The following is a 23,010-nucleotide window of genomic DNA, read 5'->3' as shown; positions in this document are numbered from 1 at the left end:
GCTAATTATAGTCCTGTCATTTCAACTTGAAGAACTGTTTTCAGCATTTCTTGTATGGCTGGTCTAGTGGTGATGAACTCGTTCAGTGCATCCACTCTTGAATATTTTTCTCCACTGTAGTGCTAGAACCTCTCATCTGGACTCCAGGGCTCCCACAAAGGTATTCTTGTTTATGGGTAGTTGGCAAAATTGGTGTTTCTCTAGGGGGATAGCAGCTGGAAACTTCTACTTCATTATGTTGCTAATGTCCCTTCTGACAGAAGGTTTTTCTGGATACCATACTTTCTCCAGTGGTATGTTTGGAGTTGTCCATATCACCTGCTGTTAAAAATGTCCCTGAACCTTTGGTCAGCCCTGACAGACCTATCTGTTCTCTGTTTCTCAATCCAGTTACCAACCTGACCACAAGATGTACCAAAGATTTTTTGTATTGAAATAATAATATTTAATAAACATCTGCTCTGTGCCAAGCATTTTGGCCTATACTTTATAGGAATAAACTCCTTAATCTTCAAAATAAATCTTTGAGAAAATATCATTTCATACATGATGAAACACAGTCTTAAAAAGGGAAAATGACTTGTTGAAGGTTATGAAGTGATGGCAGCGGGATTTAAACCAGGCTTGTTTCACTCCAGAAAGTCCAGAATCCTTTTTTATATTCCTTAAATAGTTTATTGGCAAGTTGATTATTGTTACTTTATTTTATAACTCTAAAAGGAATATATACACGACGTAAAATATTCAGAAGATGTCAGCTCCTCCAGAAAGATAAAGTATGGTTCCTGTGCTGAATGAAGAACTCAGTGGGTAATGTGGACGGAGCTCCTGCCTTAAGAGAGACAAGTATGTAAGTGGACTGGGAAAGGCCGTCATGTGATGCTTGGGAAGGAGACATTCAGGTACTGACAATAAAGTCCACAGAGGAAGAGACAAAGAAATGGTTCACCTCAAAGTCTATGAGGGGGAAAATAATGCCTGGAACCATGAGACATGCAAACGTGGTTCTGAATAATTGTTACCTGGAATAATGTTATTTCTTGCCACACATTAATGCATTTGCTAAAACAAAGCCAGAAACTTTAATTTGGATATCTGATTCCACTGGGGATGACCCAATGGGAATTTTCAGATGAATTGGTTTTGCTAGCAATACTTGTATGGTAGAAGTTATGCTGAGTCTGGCTGGCTGACAGCCAGCTATGAGGCTCAGTCTGTGAAGTATCCGCTGGCTGGGAAGTTCTTTCAAACTCAGAAATTACAAAGTATCAAGTCTTAATATTGGTTGTATCCTAGATATACTGGTTAAAACAAATTACAATGTAAAAATATATATGAATATATGATAAACAAGGTAATTGCAGAGGGATCTAAATGTTCATGTCACTTATGTCTAACATCATCTTCTGGAGGTGTCATTCTAGGCAGCCAAATCCTAATTTTTTAGTCATTGAAAATTCTAGAATCAGAAAAGTTAAGTATATGGTAGCAATTAATGGTTTAAACCTAAGATAGTCTGATGCATCCACCACCATAAAAATAATTGCTGCAGAGATATGACTTTACCCTAGGGCTCCTCTGGCCTGGAGTGGTCAACACAGTTCTTTGGAGACTTACTATTTTCTGCTTTTACAGTTGAAATATATTTTCTCCTAAGTGACAAGTTTCCTTGTCAGGTATATTAATACCTTAAATCTAATAGTTGTTAAGTTTAACCGACCTAGACTCAAACTGTTACCTTCTTATGATTTCTCATGTCTCAGCTCTGATTCTCGGAGTTGAGATAATTCTTTATTTATCTGAGAGAAACTTTATAAGTTCTTGGGGAAAATAATGTCTTTTTAGAATGGTATAGATAGATTTCTCAAACTTGAGAGGGGAACATGATGATGACTTTTTAGAAAAAGGCAGATCGATTTCTCAACCTTGATATGGGGAACATGATGATGTCTCTTTAGAATCAGGTAGATCGATTTCTCAAGCTTGAGGTCTCAGAAGTGCAAGCTGCCTTCAGACCCCAGTGAGATGGGGTGGACTAATTATACATATCTTCATTCTGTTCCTATATGAACAAGGACTCGAGGCCTTGGCTGGGCCATGGCCAGTGTACAGCAATTTAGTGGAAGATAGGTGACTGAAATCAATATTTCCTAAGCTAGCTCTTAGGATCAATGTCTTTTCCATTCAGCCATATTCCTTTATCAAACTCAAACGGTAGGATTTTTCAACGGTGGATCAGACTGATGTTAAACATGTTTCCAGATAAAGACATTAATTTTGTTTCTGTTGCTGTTTAAAGCAAATAACAAAGAGAGTCTGGCTGGGTGTGGTGGCTCATGCCTGTAATCTCAGCACTTTGGGAGGCTGAGGTGGGTGGATCACTTGAGGTCAGGAGTTCGAGATCAGCCTGGTCAACATGGTGAAACTCTGTCTCTACCAAAAATACAAAAATTAGCCATGTAGTGGGATGCACCTGTAATCCCAGTTACTCAGGAAGCTGAGGCAGGAGAATGGCTTGAACCTGGGAGGCAGAGGTTGCAGTAAGTCGAGATTGTGCCACTGTACTCCCGCCTGATTAACAAAGATGTAGGAACCAGAGCTCTTGGATTCCAGAGTTGGTAATCTTGGCTCTATGCTGCTCTGTAGTCAGAATCAATCAATTCCCTTGGAACAGGTGAACAGAAAGTGTGTCTTGTCTTGCCTTTACACAGAGAAAGGGACCAATTAAGTTCCAACTCTTTGGGAATTTAGAGTCTCAGAGAGAAAAATTAAGAGAATAATCTAAATCACAATGAAGAAATTATCTATTAATATATTTATAATAAGAGCAAATTGAGTGTCTCTCTGCTGCTGAGAACCATTGTTAGCACATCACAATAAAGTCAAATAACATGGAGTGAGATGGAAGAAAGAGAAAACAGGGTGAGTTTCTTCAGAGCTCAGAGGGAAGAATTTATTTTTTGTTTTTTTGAATTCTACATATACAAGAAAATGTGTGTGAGTGAGTGTGTGTGTGTGTTTATTTTGTGAGAGAGACAGACTTGGTGGGGTGAGGTGAATTCTGGTTCTGGAGATGTGCTATGGAATTGGGGAGAACTTGGCAGGGTAGTTCTTCAGGGCCTTACCAGTGCTGAATTACTTAAAATTGAATTAAGAGAGTCTCCCTCAGCACAAATTGAAACAGCTAGACTTGGGGATAAAGGAACAAATTTACCTAATAGGTCAAGATTCTGAGGTTAAGTCTTCTTTGCAATTTGGCAGTTGCACTGATTTATGTGCCAAACTGTGAACTCATTTCTCAAAGTGGTCCAGGAGAAGGACTGTTTAAGGCTCTAGCAGGATCAGGTTCATGCAGCAGTCTAAATGATTTGCACATGCTCTAGGGCTGGTGACATCTATCTATACTCAAAAGCTGAATTTCTTTTTAGTGCATAGGTAAAACCATATTTCATGCCTTTTTAGGGAAAGATGATGCTGTACACTGGGATTGGTAATCAGGGAAGTTTCACTTTGGGAAATTCTGCCTTTCTGTGTTAGTCATTTGCATTGCTTTACTTCAAACTTCAGTAACAATTGATTGAGATTGATCCATCACTATTTCAGTGGAGCCTGACTTATTTGTAAGGGCTGCCCGTGTCTTCTTATCTGGGCCTGGCTTTTGAGGCCCCCTCGAAATGTAATCACCCCCAGCTTCCTCAAGCTCTTTCAGTAATCCTCTTTGCTGTCTCCTTCCTGCACCATTGCCTGGTACCTCCTCCTCTTCCAATCTGTTCCACCCCTCTGATCATTCTCCTCTGAGCTTCTCTGGGCCAAGACATGACTGTCCCTGACCTGTGACAGCTCCTTGTGCATGAATTTACCTCCACAACTGAACTAGGAGCTCTCCATGGCCACAGCTGACACTTACCCTGTTGTCTTACCCATGAACTTGTGATACTTTTTCTTGTAATTGCTTTTCTAGGTAAAAATACTCTTCGTCATGATTCTTGTGGATGTGACTGTATCTGAACAGCCTCAGTGTAATATGAATAAACAAGAATCAAATTACTGAGTACCTACTGTGTGCCAGACACTGTGTAGACATATATTTTCATTACCCTACACATTAGCATAATGAAGACAGTATTTATTCATTAAATCAACTAAGACTATGATACATACCAGTATAATCTCTAACACTTTTCCCATAATATTTTGAGTGCTTATTAATTATGTGCAAGGCACAGATGAAATGCCTAGTCTGATGAAGTATTAAAATGGTTATCAATTCAAAAGCAAATAAATGAACACTGCAGATTAAGCCATGCAGCTATAAAATCTAGCATACCTTTATAAATTTAAAAATTATTAGCTGAATACTACCAACTGCCAGCAGTCAGAATTGAATGCTTGCTTTGTTCCTGAGATTATAATAAACACTTCACTAATGCTGAGGGCAGTAAAGTGGGATGCCCTAATTCTTGCAGCTAGTAGATAAGGAAGTCCATGGTCATCTGCACACAGATCTCATAATCTTCCCATAATAAAATACTGGACAGTGTATGAGATATTGTCAATAAATGCCATAACCTTAGGCTATTAGTCTCCCTGAATGACAGGCTTTTAATTTATAATGCAAATAACAACAATCATCTCTTTGAACAGTTGGAAGGAGATGGCTGGACTTATTTATTTCAGAACTGAGATTACTAAAGCATTATTATTAAAAAAGGAACTTGGATTTGGGGCTGGCTCCCCTGAATTCTTAATAAGGGATAACCTTATAACTAAAAGGAAAGAGACCTCAAAATGGATGAGTGTGGGAGGAGTGAAAGAATATACAGTTGTATTAAGTACCAGTCATATCTCTAGCACTTTAAAAATATTATAGAATTGTTATCACAATAACCCTGTGATGTGAGGTAATGTAAAAAAAGTTTTATATAAGTGTCTTTACTAGTAACGTTTAGAGAGGTTACATAACTTCCTCATTTTATATTCATTTATTGAGTACATGTTAGTCACTGTCTTAATTTTTCTAACTTATTTATTTCTCACTACAACATTCAAAGTTAGATGTTATTTTTATCCCCATTTAACAGTTGGCCAAACTGAGGCACAGAAACATTTCAAACATGCTCAAGGTCACAAGTAGAGGAGCCAGGATTCAAACGCAGGCACTCTGACTTTATACTTTGTGCTTTTAACCAATACGTCAATATTCAAAGTGGTGGAATTCAGACTCAAATTCATTCCAAACCTTTTCTTTGTTTTTCACTTGGAGTCACAGGAGAATATTCCTACTCTTAAATCCAGATGCCTCTGAAGACCAGGAATTGACTTTCTCCTTAGTAAGTCACAGACACTTTTAAGACAAGTGTGAGAATATTATCACCTTTCTGGGGTATTCAGAGTTCCCCAAGGAGCCTCAGGAAAATAGTATGTTCAGTGTGATAATTGATAGCTCTGATTCATCTGGCTATTCCTCTTCCTTCCAGAGCTTCCTGCCATGTCATACCATTCCTTTCACATCATCACTGTGTGTCCATGTAAATGTATCTAGACAGCCATCCTACACTTTTTTTTAAATCTCCAACTTCTGCTCAGCATTCATATTGAAGTCTTCCCCAGGTGAAGCAGTTTTAGAAGTCGACTCCGAATCTCCTTGGTTCTAGCTCCATAGAGAATAGGATTGAGTACAGGAGGCACCAGCACATAGAGATTAGCCAGAAAGATGTGCACATGCTTGGGGACTTCGTGGTGACCAAAGCGGTGGGTGAGGAAGGAGAAGAAGGCAGGGATGTAGAAAACCAGGATGATGCCAATGTGGGAGCCACAGGTACTCAGAGCTTTGTGCTGGGCATCATGAGATGGAAGATGAAAGACTGCATGGAGGATAAAGCCATAGGAAATGGCAATGAGAATGGAATCCAGTCCCATGGCCAGCAGAGCCACAGTTAGCCCATAGACAATATTGACAGTGATGTTGGCACAGGCCAGTCGGGCAATGCCCATATGCTCACAGTATGTGTGTGTCATGACACGGTGACCACAGTAGGGGAGTCGCCTCAGCAAGAAGATGAAGGGGGAGACAATAGCCACACTACGGAATAGCCCAACAAAGCCAATTCTGCCTATGACAGCATGGTTGAGAATGGTTGTGTACCTTAATGGGTTACAGATAGCCACATACCTATCAAAGGCCATGGCAAGTAGAATTGAGGACTCCAGAGCATAGATAGAATGGACACAAAACATCTGGGCCAGGCATCCACCAAAGGAAATCTCACCAGCATGGAGCCACAAAATGGCCAGCATCTTGGGCACAGTGGTAGAACTGAGAGCCAGGTCTGTGAGTGAGAGAAGGCAGAGGAAGAGGTACATAGGTGCATGAAGAGCATTGTCCATGGCAATGACCAGGATGAGGGCAGCATTTCCAACCAGTGCTACAAGATACATGGCACAGAAAGGGATGGCAATCCAGAAGTGGGCAGCCTCCAGCCCTGGGATCCCTGTTAAGAAGAAGGTGTCTGGAAGATGGTTATCACTGAGGTTGGAATCTGACATTCTTCCTGGCAAATGAAGGGCTCTTTCTGAATAGTATTGTTATGCTTGCCCTGTAACATCAGATATTTGGTTGATTTATGTAAAACAAAGATCTTTCTGTGAAATAATCTTTTTTAGACTAAAAAAATTTGTTTTTCACTTGTACAAACATCTGAAATGACTACCACATATAATTCATTTTAAAACCTTCTGCTAATTTCTATATTGAACAATGATGTTTTGAGTTCTATATCCAAAGCACCAAGCTAAGTATTTATTAGTCTTCTCAAACTGACCTTTCCAGACTTATCTCCCTCCATATCCTGCACATCATTTATTGACCTCTAGTCCATCCACATCATGGGATATTTCTTACCTCTCATTCATGCCTTTTCTCTTACCTAGGGAGTCTCATTCCTTTATTTTCCTCCTCTCTATTAAGTTTTAATACAAGTTTCCCTGCTTCCCAGAGGCCTTCCCTTTCTAAACTGGTCTTGGTAATCTCTAATTTTGTATTTTTCCTACTTCCACTATCTTACAAAATTCTGCTGGGTTAGAACTATGTCTTTATGCAACCGTAACCTCTACACTGCCCATGACTGTATTTGTACCTAGACATTTTGACAACTTCAATAAAGACTAAATTCTGATCATTCTTAGTAACATGGCATTGATGTTTTAAATTAATGATATAATGATGCATTAACTTTTTTTCTGCATTTGTTATGTGCCAAATATACACCAAATCACTTTTGTATATATATATCATCTGAAGTGCCTATGAAGAGGCTAGGCAACCTGAATATGCTTTCATATCATGATTGAATATATACAGCAATTTGAGCATTCACATGGGTATACCAGAAGGAAGTGTGAGGTAAATCAGATATGCTTGTTGAGGATACTGCACTCAACCATGACAAAGCCAGCGTATAGTCCTCCAATCCACCACTATAATGGCTGGCTGTGAGGTCAGATCAGAATGGCAAGTGCTATTAGAGACAGATATAAAAAGTGAGGTATTCTGGATTTACCACCCATAAAGGGACTGGAAGGGGATTCTGTTCTTGCTGTAGAGGGATAGCTAGTATTATACACATTGTCTCAGTAACATGTATCCCTAAAAGAATTCTGAGTAGAAATGCCAGGAAATCTGAATTTTAGCCCCGATTCTGTAACATTATTGATTTGTGACTTTGAACAAATCTCTTACTTATCTGGACAGTCTCAATTTAGAAAGGGCAATGAATGTAGTCATTCTCTGATTTTCTGTCTGCTCACTATGTGGCATTGAAAAAAATTCCAAAGCCTTTTTGTGGCTTAGTTTTTATCTTTAAATTGGGAATGACACCATCTGACCTAACTTCACAAAATTTTGTGGTTGACAAAAGATGACTATTCATGGAATTAAACATTTGTATACCCAGAATAATTCCCCTATTTTTTCCTAAAAAAATAAGATATTTATATTTTAACAACATATACTCTCGATAAAAGAGAGTACAGTTATCATTTACATCCCTAACCAATGAAAAGACCAATCCCAGAGAAGTGAACTGATATAATTTAGATCACGAGGCATTTTATTTGCAGAACTATGATTAGGTCTCATGTCCCTTGATTCAGAGTTTGGCGTTTTTGCCTCACCCTACTGTCCATTAATAAGTCCAATACTTGAATTCCTATCTCTTTCAAATGAGGCTAATATCTTTTTTGTCTAATATCAATTCCTAGTGCTGAAGTATCTTTACTCATTATCTTAGCTCCAAAGAGGTGGAATTAGGAAGTCCCCTTTATTTGCATTGAGATTTTTTTTTTTGTAAGAACAGGAGGCATCTTATTGATTCCTACCATAACAGAGCACCTAGGACTGTAATACAAAGAAACACGATTTTACTGCAGTAAAGATAACTGATGACCGATGGTGTTTAGGAAGTTATGAGACAAAAGATACAGAGCAAACAAAAAGTCATGGGCATCAGCCAGTGCAGGGCTGTGCTAGAGGTTCCTATCTAGCCCAGACACTTAGCTCATCTGCCTTCCTACCCTCTGCTTTGGTTTAAAATGCAGAGGAGAGACTGGAAACAATGATGAATGCAGGGGCGGGGATGCCCATTGTGTGCTCTGTAGATGTCTTAGGCAAACTTAGAAGCTAAAGAGCTGCTTGTGGCTGCTCAATCTCAGAAGTGAGTCAAGAAGTTTCCAGAGAAGCTCTCCCAAAGCAGAGTCTTACATTTTCGTGTCACATGCCCCCACATTTCTTCCCTCTCCTCCTCCTCAGGTCTCCAGTAACCCAACAGTATTTAGCGGCACATACCATGGACCAGTCACTGTGTGGAACTGGGGTAACAGCAATGAACAATCAGACAAAAATCCCTGCCGTGAAAGAGCTTAGATTTTAGCAAAGGCAGATAAATAGCAAACAAAATGCAGAAGTAAAATATATGTTAGATAATGATAAGGACTTTGAAAAAATAAAACAGAAAGAAAAAGAGGTAGTGGGAGTGGGGTAAATTCTAATTAGGGCATTGTATTAGTTTGCTAGGGCTGTCACCACAAAGCACCACAGACTGAGAGGTTTAATAACAGAAACATATTCTCTCACAGTTGTGGAGGCTGGAAGTCTGATATCGCGATGTTGGCAGGTTTGGTTCTTTGTGAGTCCTTTCTCCTTGCCTTGTAGATGACCCCCCTTTGTGTCTTCAGTTGGTCTTCCCTCTCTGCCTGTGCCCTCATCTCCCCTTGTTAAAAGGTCAACAGCCATATCGGATTAGGGCACATCCTAGTGACCACATTTTTTAAAAAAACTATCACATCTTTAAAGATCTTATCATTAAATACAGTCACATTCTGAGATGCTGAGGGTTAATTAAGACCTTGACATATGAATTTGGGGGTGTGGAGACCAACACAATTCAGCCTGTAACAGACATCCAGGGAAATCTTTGCTGGGAAGGTAGTATTTGAGCAAAGCCTTGAGTCAAAAGAGCTAGCCATGCAGATCTCAGAAGGAAGAACATTTCAGACAGGGGGACAGCAAGTGCAAAGGCTTTGAGACATAGGCCTGCCTGATGGGTTTGGAAGCAGCAAAGAGGCTTTTGTGCTGGAGGACTAGAAGTGGGGGTGCAAGGAGCATAGGCAAGATAGGCTAGATCCTTAGGCCACAGAAGGGACTTTGACTTTCACTCTGAGTTGGAGGGGGATCCTTAAGGGAGAAATCACATTGCTGGTGATCTGCAAGTTCAGGCTCAAATTCATTGCTCAGCCCAAGCAGAGTCCATCAGGTGCTTATGCTGACGGCACCAGGGATGCAAGGCTGAATAGCTGGAGAAACAATTAACACATTTTTTGTGGGAAAGATACATCTATTTCTAGAGCTCTCACTATTATAACTTCTGAACGTTGCCTCAATTCTTGATATTATTACTGTTAACCTTCTTTTTGATGCACTTAGAAAACGTGAGAGGAAGGTTATTTTTATGTCATATGTGCTTTGGTAAAATTTTGCAGGATTTGTGTACTGTGTATTCTTTTATCCTTTTTCTTTTGCTGGGCTAAGAGTGAAGGGGAGAACAGCAGAGATCTACCTTCCATCACCTTTGGTGGAGGGGTGCTATGATGGGAAATCTGCTTCTGACTTATTCTTTTGAAATCATAGTTAGGGTACCATATTCTTTGCAGGTTATGTAGATGATGTACTTTTCATTGCCAGAGAAAGAGTAGCCAATCTGTATAATGCCAGTTTGTCAAATCTGAAAGTGCTAAAATCAACCAAAACCTATAAAGCTATGAAGAATATTGATACTGTATAACATGTATTGGAGCATAAAAACTTTTTTAAAAGGCAGGTTTATTCTCACATTGCCCATAATAATATTTTGAAATAATACATATGTAATGTTTGTTTATTTAGCCAGAGGCAAGTTGGTACTGTGGTAATACCGTCGGGTTTGTTGTTCAAAGACAAGGGCCAAGGCCCAGGTTTGCTACTTCCTGGCTTTGTGTCCTTGGGCAGGTCATTTAACCTCTCCCATTGGTAAACCGAAGAAGACAAGTCCTCCTCTACTTCTGACAGAAGTATTGGGAAGATCAAGTGAACACATGTCTTTGTGGAGTACTATATAAAATTAGATATTATCATAATGCATTGCACTGATATTTTTTAGTGATGACACTAGATGGTTTTGGGCTCAGCATTGGCACTGACCTGTGTTAATAGGGGAAACAAGCTTGGACGACAGAGTCTAGAGAGCTGGAATCACTACCATCTTCTTTTCTCCTTTCTTTCTGGCCTATTCTTGCCCTCTAAGAAAGCTTTAAAATAACTGTTGTAAGGTAACTGCTACTCTGTGATTATCTAAGGATGTGTGGACCAGAAAGATTGAGGCAGGAGCAGGTCCCATTTATTTCCCTTTAGAAAACAGTGGGAAAACGATATTGAACTTGAGTATCATTTAGGTTCACAATACAGGCACCCTTCCTAACTTGTTGCAGGATCCTGTGTCTGGGTCCCCATCTTACACCTAGATGTCAGTAACTTAGCTGTGAGTTCATTGACTGAACATATTGCTGAGGAATCTGATTTCAAGAACTTACCTGCACAAGAGACATGAGTTTGCAGGTGGAGCATGCAGAAGTTGGACCTCGGTGTAAAGGTGTGTGTATGAGGGTGAAACTGTGTGGGAGAAAGAGTGTGGTGGTGCAGTGGCTTTGGCAGGAGGTGTGTGTCTGGATGCAAAGTTTTGTTTAGGGAAGTGAAGGCTGTGTTTCTCTGCAGGTTCAAGGGAGTATGGTATGAGAGAGTGGAGGGTCTGAATGTGTAATTCGTGTTGAAATGTCTTGTCCTTTCTCAGTTTTCTGGGCTAATGTCTTCAGTTCAGCTCTGTATTTCTGCCTCCTCTAGTCAAGGGGATTGGTAAACGGGGTTATTTATTGACTTTCTGTGATGTGCAGGTGGGAAAACCCAGGTGGCATCCCCTAAGGATTTGATCTGTGGTCCATCTATTGAGGGAAAGATAAGAAGCAGTTGATAATTGAGAAAAAAATGAGCAAGGGAAATTTTCCAGTGAGTTTTCAAGGGAATTTGAAATTAAACAGCTAGCCTGTCTTTTCCTCTATTCTGATCTCTTTTTCACTTCTTTCCTTGTCTTCCTTTTCTCTTCTTTTTTTTTTTAGCTGTACTTTCTACTCTTTCTTTTCTTTTCTTTTCTTTTTTTTTTAATTATACTTTAAGTTTTAGGGTACATGTGCACGTTGTGCAGGTTAGTTACACATGTATACATGTGCCATGCTGGTGCGCTGCACCCACTAACTCGTCATCTAGCGTTAGGTATATCTCCCAATGCTATCCCTCCCCCCTCCCCCCACCCCATCACAGTCCCCAGAGTGTGATATTCCCCTTCCTGTGTCCATGTGATCTCATTGTTCAGTTCCCACCTATGAGTGAGAATATGCGGTGTTTGGTTTTTTGTTCTTGCAATAGTTTACTGAGAATGATGATTTCCAATTTCATCCATGTCTCTACAAAGGACATGAACTCATCATTTTTTATGGCTGCATAGTATTCCATGGTGTATATGTGCCACATTTTCTTAATCCAGTCTATCATTGATGGACATTTGGGTTGGTTCCAAGTCTTTGCTATTGTGCATAATGCCGCAATAAACATACGTGTGCATGTGTCTTTATAGCAGCATGATTTATAGTCCTTTGGGTATATACCCAGTAATGGGATGGCTGGGTCAAATGGTATTTCTAGTTCTAGATCCCTGAGGAATCGCCACACTGACTTCCACAATGGTTGAACTAGTTTACAGTCCCACCAACAGTGTAAAAGTGTTCCTATTTCTCCACATCCTCTCCAGCACCTGTTGTTTCCTGACTTTTTAATGATTGCCATTCTAACTGGTGTGAGATGGTATCTCATTGTGGTTTTGATTTGCATTTCTCTGATGGCCAGTGATGATGAGCATTTTTTCATGTGTTTTTTGGCTGCATAAATGTCTTCTTTTGAGAAGTGTCTGTTCATGTCCTTCGCCCACTTTTTGATGGGGTTGTTTGTTTTTTTCCTGTAAATTTGTTTGAGTTCATTGTAGATTCTGGATATTAGCCCTTTGTCAGATGAGTAGGTTGTGAAAATTTTCTCCCATTTTGTAGGTTGTCTGTTCACTCTGATGGTAGTTTCTTTTGCTGTGCAGAAGCTCTTTAGTTTAATTAGATCCCATTTGTCAATTTTGTCTTTTGTTGCCATTGCTTTTGGTGTTTTGGACATGAAGTCCTTGCCCATGCCTATGTCCTGAATGGTAATGCCTAGGTTTTCTTCTAGGGTTTTTATGGTTTTAGGTCTAACGTTTAAGTCTTTAATCCATCTTGAATTGATTTTTGTATAAGGTGTAAGGAAGGGATCCAGTTTCAGCTTTCTACATATGGCTAGCCAGTTTTCCCAGCACCATTTATTAAATAGGGAATCCTTTCCCCATTGCTTGTTTTTGTCAGGTTTGTCAAAGATCAGATAGTTGTAGATATGCGGCATTATTTCTGAGGGCTCTGTTCTGTTCCATTGATCTATATCTCTGTTTTGGTACCAGTACCATGCTGTTTTGGTTATTGTAGCCTTGTAGTATAGTTTGAAGTCAGGTAGTGTGATGCCTCCAGCTTTGTTCTTTTGGCTTAGGATTGCCTTGGTGATGCAGGCTCTTTTTTGGTTCCATATGAACTTTAAAGTAGTTTTTTCCAATTCTGTGAAGAAAGTCATTGGTAGCTTGATGGGAATGGCATTGAATCTGTAAATTACCTTGGGCAGTATGGCCATTTTCATGATATTGATTCTTCCTACCCGTGAGCATGGAATGTTCTTTCATTTGTTTGTATCCTCTTTTATTTCCTTGAGCAGTGGTTTGTAGTTCTCCTTGAAGAGGTCCTTCACATCCCTTGTAAGTTGGATTCCTAGGTATTTTATTCTCTTTGAAGCAATTGTGAATGGGAGTTCACTCATGATTTGGCTCTCTGTCTGTTGTTGGTGTATAAGAATGCTTGTGATTTTTGTACATTGATTTTGTATCCTGAGACTTTGCTGAAGTTGCTTATCAGCTTAAGGAGATTTTGGGCTGAGACAGTGGGGTTTTCTAGATACACATTCATGTCATCTGCAAACAGGGACAATTTGACTTCCTCTTTTCCTGCTTGAATACCCTTTATTTCCTTCTCCTGCCTAATTGCCCTGGCCAGAACTTCCAACACTATGTTGAATAGGAGTGGTGAGAGAGGGCATCCCTGTCTTGTGCCAGTTTTCAAAGGGAATGCTTCCAGTTTTTGCCCATTCAGTATGATATTGGCTGTGGGTTTGTCATAGATAGCTCTTATTATTTTGAAATACGTCCCATCAATACCTAATTTATTGAGAGGTTTTAGCATGAAGGGTTGTTGAATTTTGTCAAAGGCTTTTTCTGCATCTATTGAGATAATCATGTGGTTTTTGTCTTTGGCTCTGTTTATATGCTGGATTACATTTATTGATTTGCGTATATTGAACCAGCCTTGCATCCCAGGGATGAAGCCCACTTGATCATGGTGGATAAGCTTTTTGATGTGCTGCTGGATTCGTTTTGCCAGTATTTTATGGAGGATTTTTGCATCAATGTTCATCAAGGATATTGGTCTAAAATTCTCTTTTTTGGTTGTGTCTCTGCCTGGCTTTGGTATCAGAATGATGCTGGCCTCATAAAATGAGTTAGGGAGGATTCCCTCTTTTTCTATTGATTGGAATAGTTTCAGAAGGAATGGTACCAGTTCCTCCTTGTACCTCTGTTAGAATTTGGCTGTTAATCCATCTGGTCCTGGACTCTTTTAGGTTGGTAAGCTATTGATTATTGCCACAATTTCAGCTCCTGTTATTGGTCTATTCAGAGATTCAACTTCTTCCTGGTTTAGTCTTGGGAGAGTGTATGTGTCAAGGAATTTATCCACTTCTTCTAGATTTTCTAGTTTATTTCCATAGAGGTGTTTGTAGTATTCTCTGATGGTAGTTTGTATTTCTGTGGGATCGGTGGTGATATCCCCTTTATCATTTTTTATTGCATCTATTTGATTCTTCTGTCTTTTTTTCTTTATTAGTCTTGCTAGCGGTCTATCAATTTTATTGATCCTTTCAAAAAACCAGCTCCTGGATTCATTGATTTTTTGAAGGGTTTTTTGTGTCTCTATTTCCTTCAGTTCTGCTCTGATTTTAGTTATTTCTTGCCTTCTGCTAGCTTTTGAATGTGTTTGCTCTTGCTTTTCTAGTTCTTTTAATTGTGATGTTAGGGTGTCAATTTTGGATCTTTCCTGCTTTCTCTTGTGGGCCTTTAGTGCTATAAGTTTCCCTCTACACACTGCTTTGAATGCGTCCCAGAGATTCTGGTATGTTGTGTCTTTGTTCTCGTTGGTTTCAAAGAACATCTTTATTTCTGCCTTCATTTCGTTATGTATCCAGTAGTCATTCAGGAGCAGGTTGTTCAGTTTCCATGTAGTTGAGTGGTTTTGAGTGAGATTCTTAATCCTGAGTTCTAGTTTGATTGCACTGTGGTCTGAGAGATAGTTTGTTATAATCTCTGTTCTTTTACATTTGATGAGGAGAGCTTTACTTCCAAGTACGTGGTCAATTTTGGAATAGGTGTGGTGCTGAAAAAAATGTATATTCTGTTGATTTGGGGTGGAGAGTTCTGTAGATGTCTATTAGGTCTGCTTGGTGCAGAGCTGAGTTCAATTCCTGGGTATCCTTGTTGACTTTCTGTCTCGTTGATCTGTCTAATGTTGACAGTGGGGTGTTAAAGTCTCCCATTATTAATGTGTGGGAGTCTAAGTCTCTTTGTAGGTCACTCAGGACTTGCTTTATGAATCTGGGTGCTCCTGTATTGGGTGCATATATATTTAGGATAGTTAGCTCTTCTTGTTGAATTGATCCCTTTACCATTATGTAATGGCCTTCTTTGTCTCTTTTGATCTTTGTTGGTTTAAAGTCTATTTTATCAGAGACTAGGATTGCAACCCCTGCCTTTTTTTGTTTTCCATTTGCTTGGTAGATCTTCCTCCATCCTTTTATTTTGAGCCTACGTGTGTCTCTGCACATGAGATGGATTTCCTGAATACAGCACACTGATGGGTCTTGACTCTTTATCCAATTTGCCAGTCTGTGTCTTTTAATTGGAGCATTTAGTCCATTTACATTTAAAGTTAATATTGTTATGTGTGAATTTGATCCTGTCATTATGATGTTAGCTGGTGATTTTGCTCGTTAGTTGATGCAGTTTCTTCCTAGTCTGAATGGTCTTTACATTTTGGCATGATTTTGCAGCAGCTGGTACCGGTTGTTCCTTTCCATGTTTAGTGCTTCCTTCAGGAGCTCTTTTAGGGCAGACCTGGTGGTGACAAAATCTCTCAGCATTTGCTTGTCTGTAAAGTATTTTATTTCTCCTTCACTTATGAAGCTTAGTTTGGCTGGATATGAAATTCTGGGTTGAAAATTCTTTTCTTTAAGAATGTTGAATATTGGCCCCCACTCTCTTCTGGCTTGTAGGGTTTCTGCCGAGAGATCCGCTGTTAGTCTGATGGGCTTCCCTTTGAGGGTAACCCGACCTTTCTCTCTGGCTGCCCTTAACATTTTTTCCTTCATTTCAACTTTGGTGAATCTGATAATTATGTGTCTTGGAGTTGCTCTTCTCGAGGAGTATCTTTATGGTGTTCTCTGTATTTCCTGAATCTGAACGTTGACCTGCCTTGCTAGATTGGGGAAGTTCTCCCGGATAATATCCTGCAGAGTGTTTTCCAACTTGGTTCCATTCTCCTCATCACTTTCAGGTCCACCAATCAGACGTAGATTTGGTCTTTTCACATAGTCCCATATTTCTTGGAGGCTTTGCTCATTTCTTTTTATTCTTTTTTCTCTAAACTTCCCTTCACGCTTCATTTCATTCATTTCATCTTCCATTGCTCATACCCTTTCTTCCAGTTGATCGCATCGGCTCCTGAGGCTTCTGCATTCTTCACGTAGTTCTTGAGCCTTGGTTTTCAGCTCCATCAGCTCCTTTAAGCACTTCTCTGTATTGGTTATTCTAGTTATACATTCTTCTAAATTTTTTTCAAAGTTTTCCACTTCTTTGCCTTTGGTTTGAATGTCCTCCCGTAGCTCAGAGTAATTTGATCGTCTGAAGCCTTCTTCTCTCAGCTCGTCAAAGTCATTCTCCATCCAGCTTTGTTCCGTTGCTGGTGAGGAACTGCATTCCTTTGGAGGAGGAGAGGTGCTCTGCTTTTTAGAGTTTCCAGTTTTTCTGTTCTGTTTTTTCCCCATCTTTGTGGTTTTATCTACTTTTGGTCTTTGATGATGGTGATGTACAGATGGGTTTTTGGTGTGGATGTCCTTTCTGTTTGTTAGTTTTCCTTCTAACAGACAGGACCCTCAGCTGCAAGTCTGTTGGAATACCCTGCCGTGTGAGGTGTCAGTATGCCCCTGCTGGGGGGTGCCTCCCAGTTAGGCTGCTCGGGGTTCAGGGGTCAGGGACCCACTTGAGGAGGCAGTCTACCCGTTCTCAGATCTCCAGCTGCTTGCTGGGAGAACCACTGCTCTCTTCAAAGCTGTCAGACAGGGACATTGAAGTCTGCAGAGGTTACTGCTGTCTTTTTGTTTGTCTGTGCCCTGCCCCCAGAGGTGGAGCCTACAGAGGCAGGCAGGCCTCCTTGAGCTGTGGTGGGCTCCACCCAGTTGGAGCTTCCCGGCTGCTTTGTTTACCTAAGCAAGCCTGGGCAATGGCGGGCGCCCCTCCCCAGCCTCCCTGCTGCCTTGCAGTTTGATCCCAGACTGCTGTGCTAGCAATCAGGGAGACTCCGTGGGCGTAGGACCCTCCGAGCCAGGTGCGGGATATAATCTCATGGTGCGCCGTTTTTTAAGCCAGTCCGAAAAGCGCAATATTCAGGTGGGAGTGACCCGATTTTCCAGGTGCGTCCGTCACCCCTTTCTTTGACTCGGAAAGGGAACTCCCTGACCCCTTGTGCTTCCCAAGTGAGGCAATGCCTCACCCTGCTTCGGCTCGCGCACGGTGCGCGCACCCACTGACCTGCGCCGACTGTCTGGCACTCCCTAGTGATATGAACCCGGTACCTCAGATGGAAATGCAGAAATCACCCGTCTTCTGCGTTGCTCATGCTGGGAGCTGTAGACCGGAGCTGTTCCTATTTGGCCATCTTGGCTCCTCCCCCAATACATATAAATTAGGTTTGTAATAAACTGAGACAGAAAGAGGATAGATTTTGAGATGAATGCAGGCAGGAATGCTCCCAGGAATGAACCTGGGAGCTTCAAGGAGGTGAGCCTCAAGGTGACCGGTAGGATTGTGGTGCCCACTGGTTCCCCACTGAGGTGCTCTCCAAGTGCACCTCTGTGCTCATCTCAAGGGATAAGTGTTTCTCTTTCCTGTCAGAGCCATTTTCTCCAGATGTGGTTATTGGCTGCAAAGGGCCCACCATCACTACTCATGGGGCCCCCAAGAGACTCATCTCCCCTGGCGCTCACGAAATTCAGTTGATGAGTTTGGATATAAGTATACAGCCATGAAACCATCACTACAATCCATATCATAAACATATACATCACCTCTAAAAGTTCCTTCCCACTCTATTTATTTATGATGATGAAAACACTTAAGATCTACCCTCTCGGCACATTTTAAAATATACAAAACAGTATTGTTAACTATAGGCATTATTTTGTACAGTAGATCTTTAGGACTTATTCATCTTGTATAACGGAAACTTTGTACCTTTTGACCAATATCTTCCTGTTTTTCGATGGCCTGTTAATGTGCTAGGTAAACTTCAGAGGATATTTTACTTTACCTAGCTAGTTAGCTATCTAACTCTGTAACATATCAGCAAGCTAATGATATAGGTAAAATATTATTCTTGTTTTACAGCTGAAGACACTGAAGTGTAAAGAACAGATTAAGTAACTTGTCTAGGATAACACAACTAGTAAGTCAAAGAACAGAAGATGAAACTCACATAGTCTGAATCCCAAATCCAAGACTGGTATTATTTTGGGTTGGTGACATCACTGTGAAAAGTCTTACAGTTCTTGTCCTTCCTCTTATCGGCTTGTTCAGTGTAAATACATGAAATACTGATGGTCTCAGTTTAGGCTGGAGACCTAAGAGATACCAAGTCACAAAGGAGGCTCATTCTTTCATCCAGTGACTATTTTTTGGGCACCTAAACATGTCAGACCCCTTCAGCATGGAAGGGAATCCTTGGAGTATGATACAAACAGGCATTTACCCTCTGAGTGCCCCCTTGTGGCCATACAGCATAACAGCTAAGAGTACCTAGGTTCAAATGCTGGTGTTGTCACTTGTGTGATTTGTGACTATAGATAAGTTATTTAACTCACAGTGGCTCCATTTTGATATGCAAAATATGAATCTGTTTCATAATGTTTTCAAATTTAAACGAGTTTATAGAATTAGTCAACACATAAAGCTCTCAATAAGTATACATGAATGTTATTACTGGGGGGAAATAGTTATAATCCACTGAGATGTCATGATTACTGTCTGTGGTATCCAAGAAAAGGATTCTCTAACACAGCCTATAGAGCTAAAGATTTCTCTACTGCGCATGGACTTGGATTAATTAAGGTAGAAAAGTGAGTAAATCACTTTATGAGGATTTTATGTGAGGCATGAAGAGAGGGTTTGGACTGGAATTCAGTTTCATCTAAAAAGAATCAAGCCTCCAGTGTGGTCCATGCTACAAGATGGTACTGTGAGGCTGCTATGGATCTAGATACAATGGCAAAGAAACATAGGTTGAATAGGTGTATGCTAGTCACATGTACCCTACCATGTGTGTCATCCAATTTTGCAAAAGCTTGTGGAAGGAATGCTGATGCTGTTATGCTGATGGTTTTGGTTATGGCAAAAATATTAGTTGTATGCCTAATATTTGCTAAACATCATGCTGGGTGCCTTGAATATATTAAAGAATAGGAGAGATGGTCATGTTTCATGGAATTTACATAATAACATAGAAGAAAGGCAATAAATGCATACTTTTCCATTTATGTTAGATCATTTAATCATAACTCTGCAAGATGTTAGACAAGATCACTAGAGAATGTTATGTAAGTATTAGTAGATCCTCATTCAGGCTAAGGGGTTAGGGGGATCCATAAGGCAGTAATATTTAAATAATATTTAATATCCACCAAGAGTTGGTGGATAAATAACTAGCCCAGTGAAGGGAAAGTGCATGGGGAAAAGCTTCCAGGACATGTGAAACAGCATTTGTTAAGGCCTTGAGGTTGGAGTGATCCTTGCATCTTCGAGGAACTGAAAGGAGGTCATTTTGGTTGGAACAGAACAAGAGAACAATGATTGAATATATTCAATGTAAAGTTGAAAATGAAGATCATATTACACAGTGTTTTACAGGCAATATGAGTGTTCGGATTTTATCATCATGAAAATAGCATGATGAAAGTTGACTTAATATTGATGTAATATGGAGAATGAATTAGAAGAGGGCTGAATAATGTGGGGAAGTCCATTAAGATGTTATTGAAATGTTGATATTTGGGTCTAGAGAGTGACTGTAGGACTGGTAAGACGTCAGTAAAGCAGAAAAATATTCAGGATTTGGATCCAAAAGGATATAATATTTTTGCAAGTAGAGTTCATAAGTCAAACACCTATTTATTGAGCTTACTCCTCCTTTTATCTGGCCATTTCTAGTTTATCTTTCTGGTCTCAATTAAACTAATTTTCCAGATTATTTTAGTTCTTCTCCATTAAAGTGGTTCCTATTCCTACCACCCCAAACTTACTCTCTAAAGCAAATTAATGCATGTAATTATTTGTTTAGCCTGTTGTCCTGATCACTGTGAGATTTGAGAAAATGCTTATCCTGTTCACTGTCATACCTGAGCACCTCCTTCAGCGTGGTTTTTTCTCTCAAAGATGAGTTTACACTAACCAACACATTGAAATGTATGTGTGATGTTATTAATTTCCAATGAGAAATAGAATTATTGCATTGGCACAAATTATCTTGTCAACTTGAATAGTAAACACTACCTGGGGAGAAACATATCATGATTATATTTCTGGGTAAACAACAAACAAGAGGAAAAGGCTTAACTACAAAATTCAAAAATTTCGTGTCTTAAGTTTGGATAGATAAATATCAATCTCCAAAAACAATTTATTAATTGGTTAAATTATTAATTTGTTAAAAAACAGTTCATTAAATCATGGTACTTAGCAGGCTAGTAGGGTCTTCTCTATAGACCTGCTTGATTATTGTTGTCCTTCAAGTCTCTTGTGTTGTTCGCCTTTATCTCCTCCTGTAAGTGGTGATTTTATGTGTGTGTGTTGGGGGGAGTACATCTGTTTATAATCATGAATTTTAATCCTGGATTGAAATGAAATCTTTTCTCAACCAATAATTTTATGATATGGCAAGTTGTGTAATCTCTTTGAATTTCAGATATTTCATCTACAAAAGGTGAATAAAAATACTCATAGGTGCTTTGAATATTAAATAATGCATATGAAGATTGTTGTAAGTTTATGGTATGTGCTTGGTCATCAATAAATAGTAATTATTTTCCATGGCTTATATTTGTAATTAGGTTAAATCAGTCAAATCTCAAATGTTTGGGAATCATTGTTTCCTATAAGGGTGTCTTTTTATGTCCCTCTTCTGATGTCTTGTGATGGAATTACTGATGAATTCTAAGAAGGCAGACTTATTTTTCTCATTTCCTAGTAACTACAGGTACTTTCCCGTGCACACTCTCTCCCCATTCTCATGCACACATTTACACACACACACACACACACACACACTCATTTTGTAATTTAAAACAATTAAATTTTTTGTCCTATAATTTAAAACAGTTGTAAAATTTCCAATGAAGTTCTAGTTTTTCATGAGGAAGTCTTTGATGTGTTTTAAGGCATCAAATATTACACACATATATTTATAAAGAATTTGAATACTCTTCTGATGCTCTAAATGTGTATGCTTATTTTTCCATTAAATAATTCCATATTGCTTTCAAGTATGATAAAATGTATTCATAAGGTTTTCACTGATAACTAAATGAGCTAACTGTGTCAAAAAACCTAGCAGAATCACAGATACTTAGTAAATAAATATTGTTCTCACATTAACTCTTCAGCCAAGATAAATGCAGATAATTTGGGTCTGCATCAGGATAATTATAATTATCTAACACTGTTTGAACTCTGTACAATTTCTAACTCTTTAAATAATTTGTCTGTGCATATCAGCAAGCTTCTTACCCCTTAAAGCCTTCATTTCTTCATTATGAAAGGTTGAATGTGATACAAGATGGCCCCGACATCCTTTTACAAAATTTAAGACCCTTACATTAGTTTCTTAAAAGTCAAACACCCCTCAGACTCCTCCAAAACTCCAGAGTCAACAGGCATTTGCACCCCTTATTCAAGATTTTTTTTCTGGCATATAAAAAATTGGCAAGTCTTTATGATAGTTCTTGTTTAATAAGTGTTTACAATGTGATACTGTTTCAAATATGCCAAGATGTGTAGGAATTTGTGTATCATTTTACAAATAAGGAATTTGAAACATGAACATATCAACTAATTTTCTTAATGACATTCATTTAGACAGGGAAGGAGCTTGTTTTGAATCCAGGTCTGGCAGTAGGGTGGCAAGTTGTTATCAGCTTGCCAAAACTGAGGAGTTTCTCCTAATGCGGGACTTTCAGTGTTAAAACCAGTACAGGATGGGGCAAACAAGGATGGTCACCTTATTTGATGACTCTAAATAATTAGGCTCCTCTCCGTTGTGCCCTTTGACTTCTTGAAATGCATTTAAGTTGTGGTATGCTTACTGGAAAGAACCCTAATCTGAGAATCAGTGAGAATCAGTGGTCTAGGATTCAGTTCAGCTCTGTTATTGGCTTACTGAATGGATTCTTCCTGGGCGTCAGCTCTCCTACAAAATGAGGAGCTGAAAATGTTGATCACTTCAGGACAAGCCAGTCTTCATTCTCAATTCCTTTGAAACTTCTAAGTGGGAGAAATGGCAGAGCACAGAGGAGTCCTTCACTCAAGATTTTTTAGAATCCCTGCTGCCCAGCTACCTCTTGGAGCCCTTGGACTTAGCAGAACCAGGGGACTCTGAAGACGCAGCTTTATAGAGCTCAGAGCAGGGAGTGGGTGGAGGCTGGCAGTGGGGCTGTGTGCAGTGTGTGCAGTACTTGGTATTTCTCCCTTCAGTGGACACTTCACCAGCCTCTCTCCTCCCACCCACCAGAGCTACCCTGAGGAGGTAAGTGGGGACCTCATCTCTTCCCCCACAGAGGCCCTCAGGCACCTCCTTCATAGCTTCGAAATCCTTTAGTGATTAGGGTACAGGGATTTGAAGGAGAGACAGTCTGTGATTTAAGGTAATTTTTATTTTCCTACA

At 39.7% G+C, this 23,010-nt stretch overlaps 2 protein-coding genes across 3 annotated transcripts in view; one reads left to right on the top strand and one right to left on the bottom strand.

The window, feature by feature from the left end:
* Positions 1-23,010, top strand: part of OR51B5 (olfactory receptor family 51 subfamily B member 5) — a 165,335-nt gene that overhangs the window by 10,400 nt on the left and 131,925 nt on the right. The gene's annotated exons all lie outside the window — the stretch shown is intronic.
* On the bottom strand, positions 5,504-6,568 carry OR52D1 (olfactory receptor family 52 subfamily D member 1). The gene has a single exon (NM_001005163.2). It carries the CDS (start codon positions 6,544-6,546, stop codon positions 5,590-5,592), a length of 957 nt encoding a protein of 318 aa, NP_001005163.1. The 5' UTR covers positions 6,547-6,568; the 3' UTR covers positions 5,504-5,589.

Source organism: Homo sapiens, chromosome 11 (genome assembly GCF_000001405.40).
Source record: "Homo sapiens chromosome 11, GRCh38.p14 Primary Assembly".
Taxonomy (NCBI): Eukaryota; Metazoa; Chordata; class Mammalia; order Primates; family Hominidae; genus Homo; species Homo sapiens.
Note: the sequence above shows the minus strand (reverse complement) of the source record. Positions and strands in the feature narration are given on the sequence as shown.

Coding starts and splice junctions, on each gene's coding strand:
- OR52D1 (NM_001005163.2), bottom strand. CDS start 6,546: ATGTCAGATTCCAACCTCAGTGATAACCATCTTCCAGACACCTTCTTC.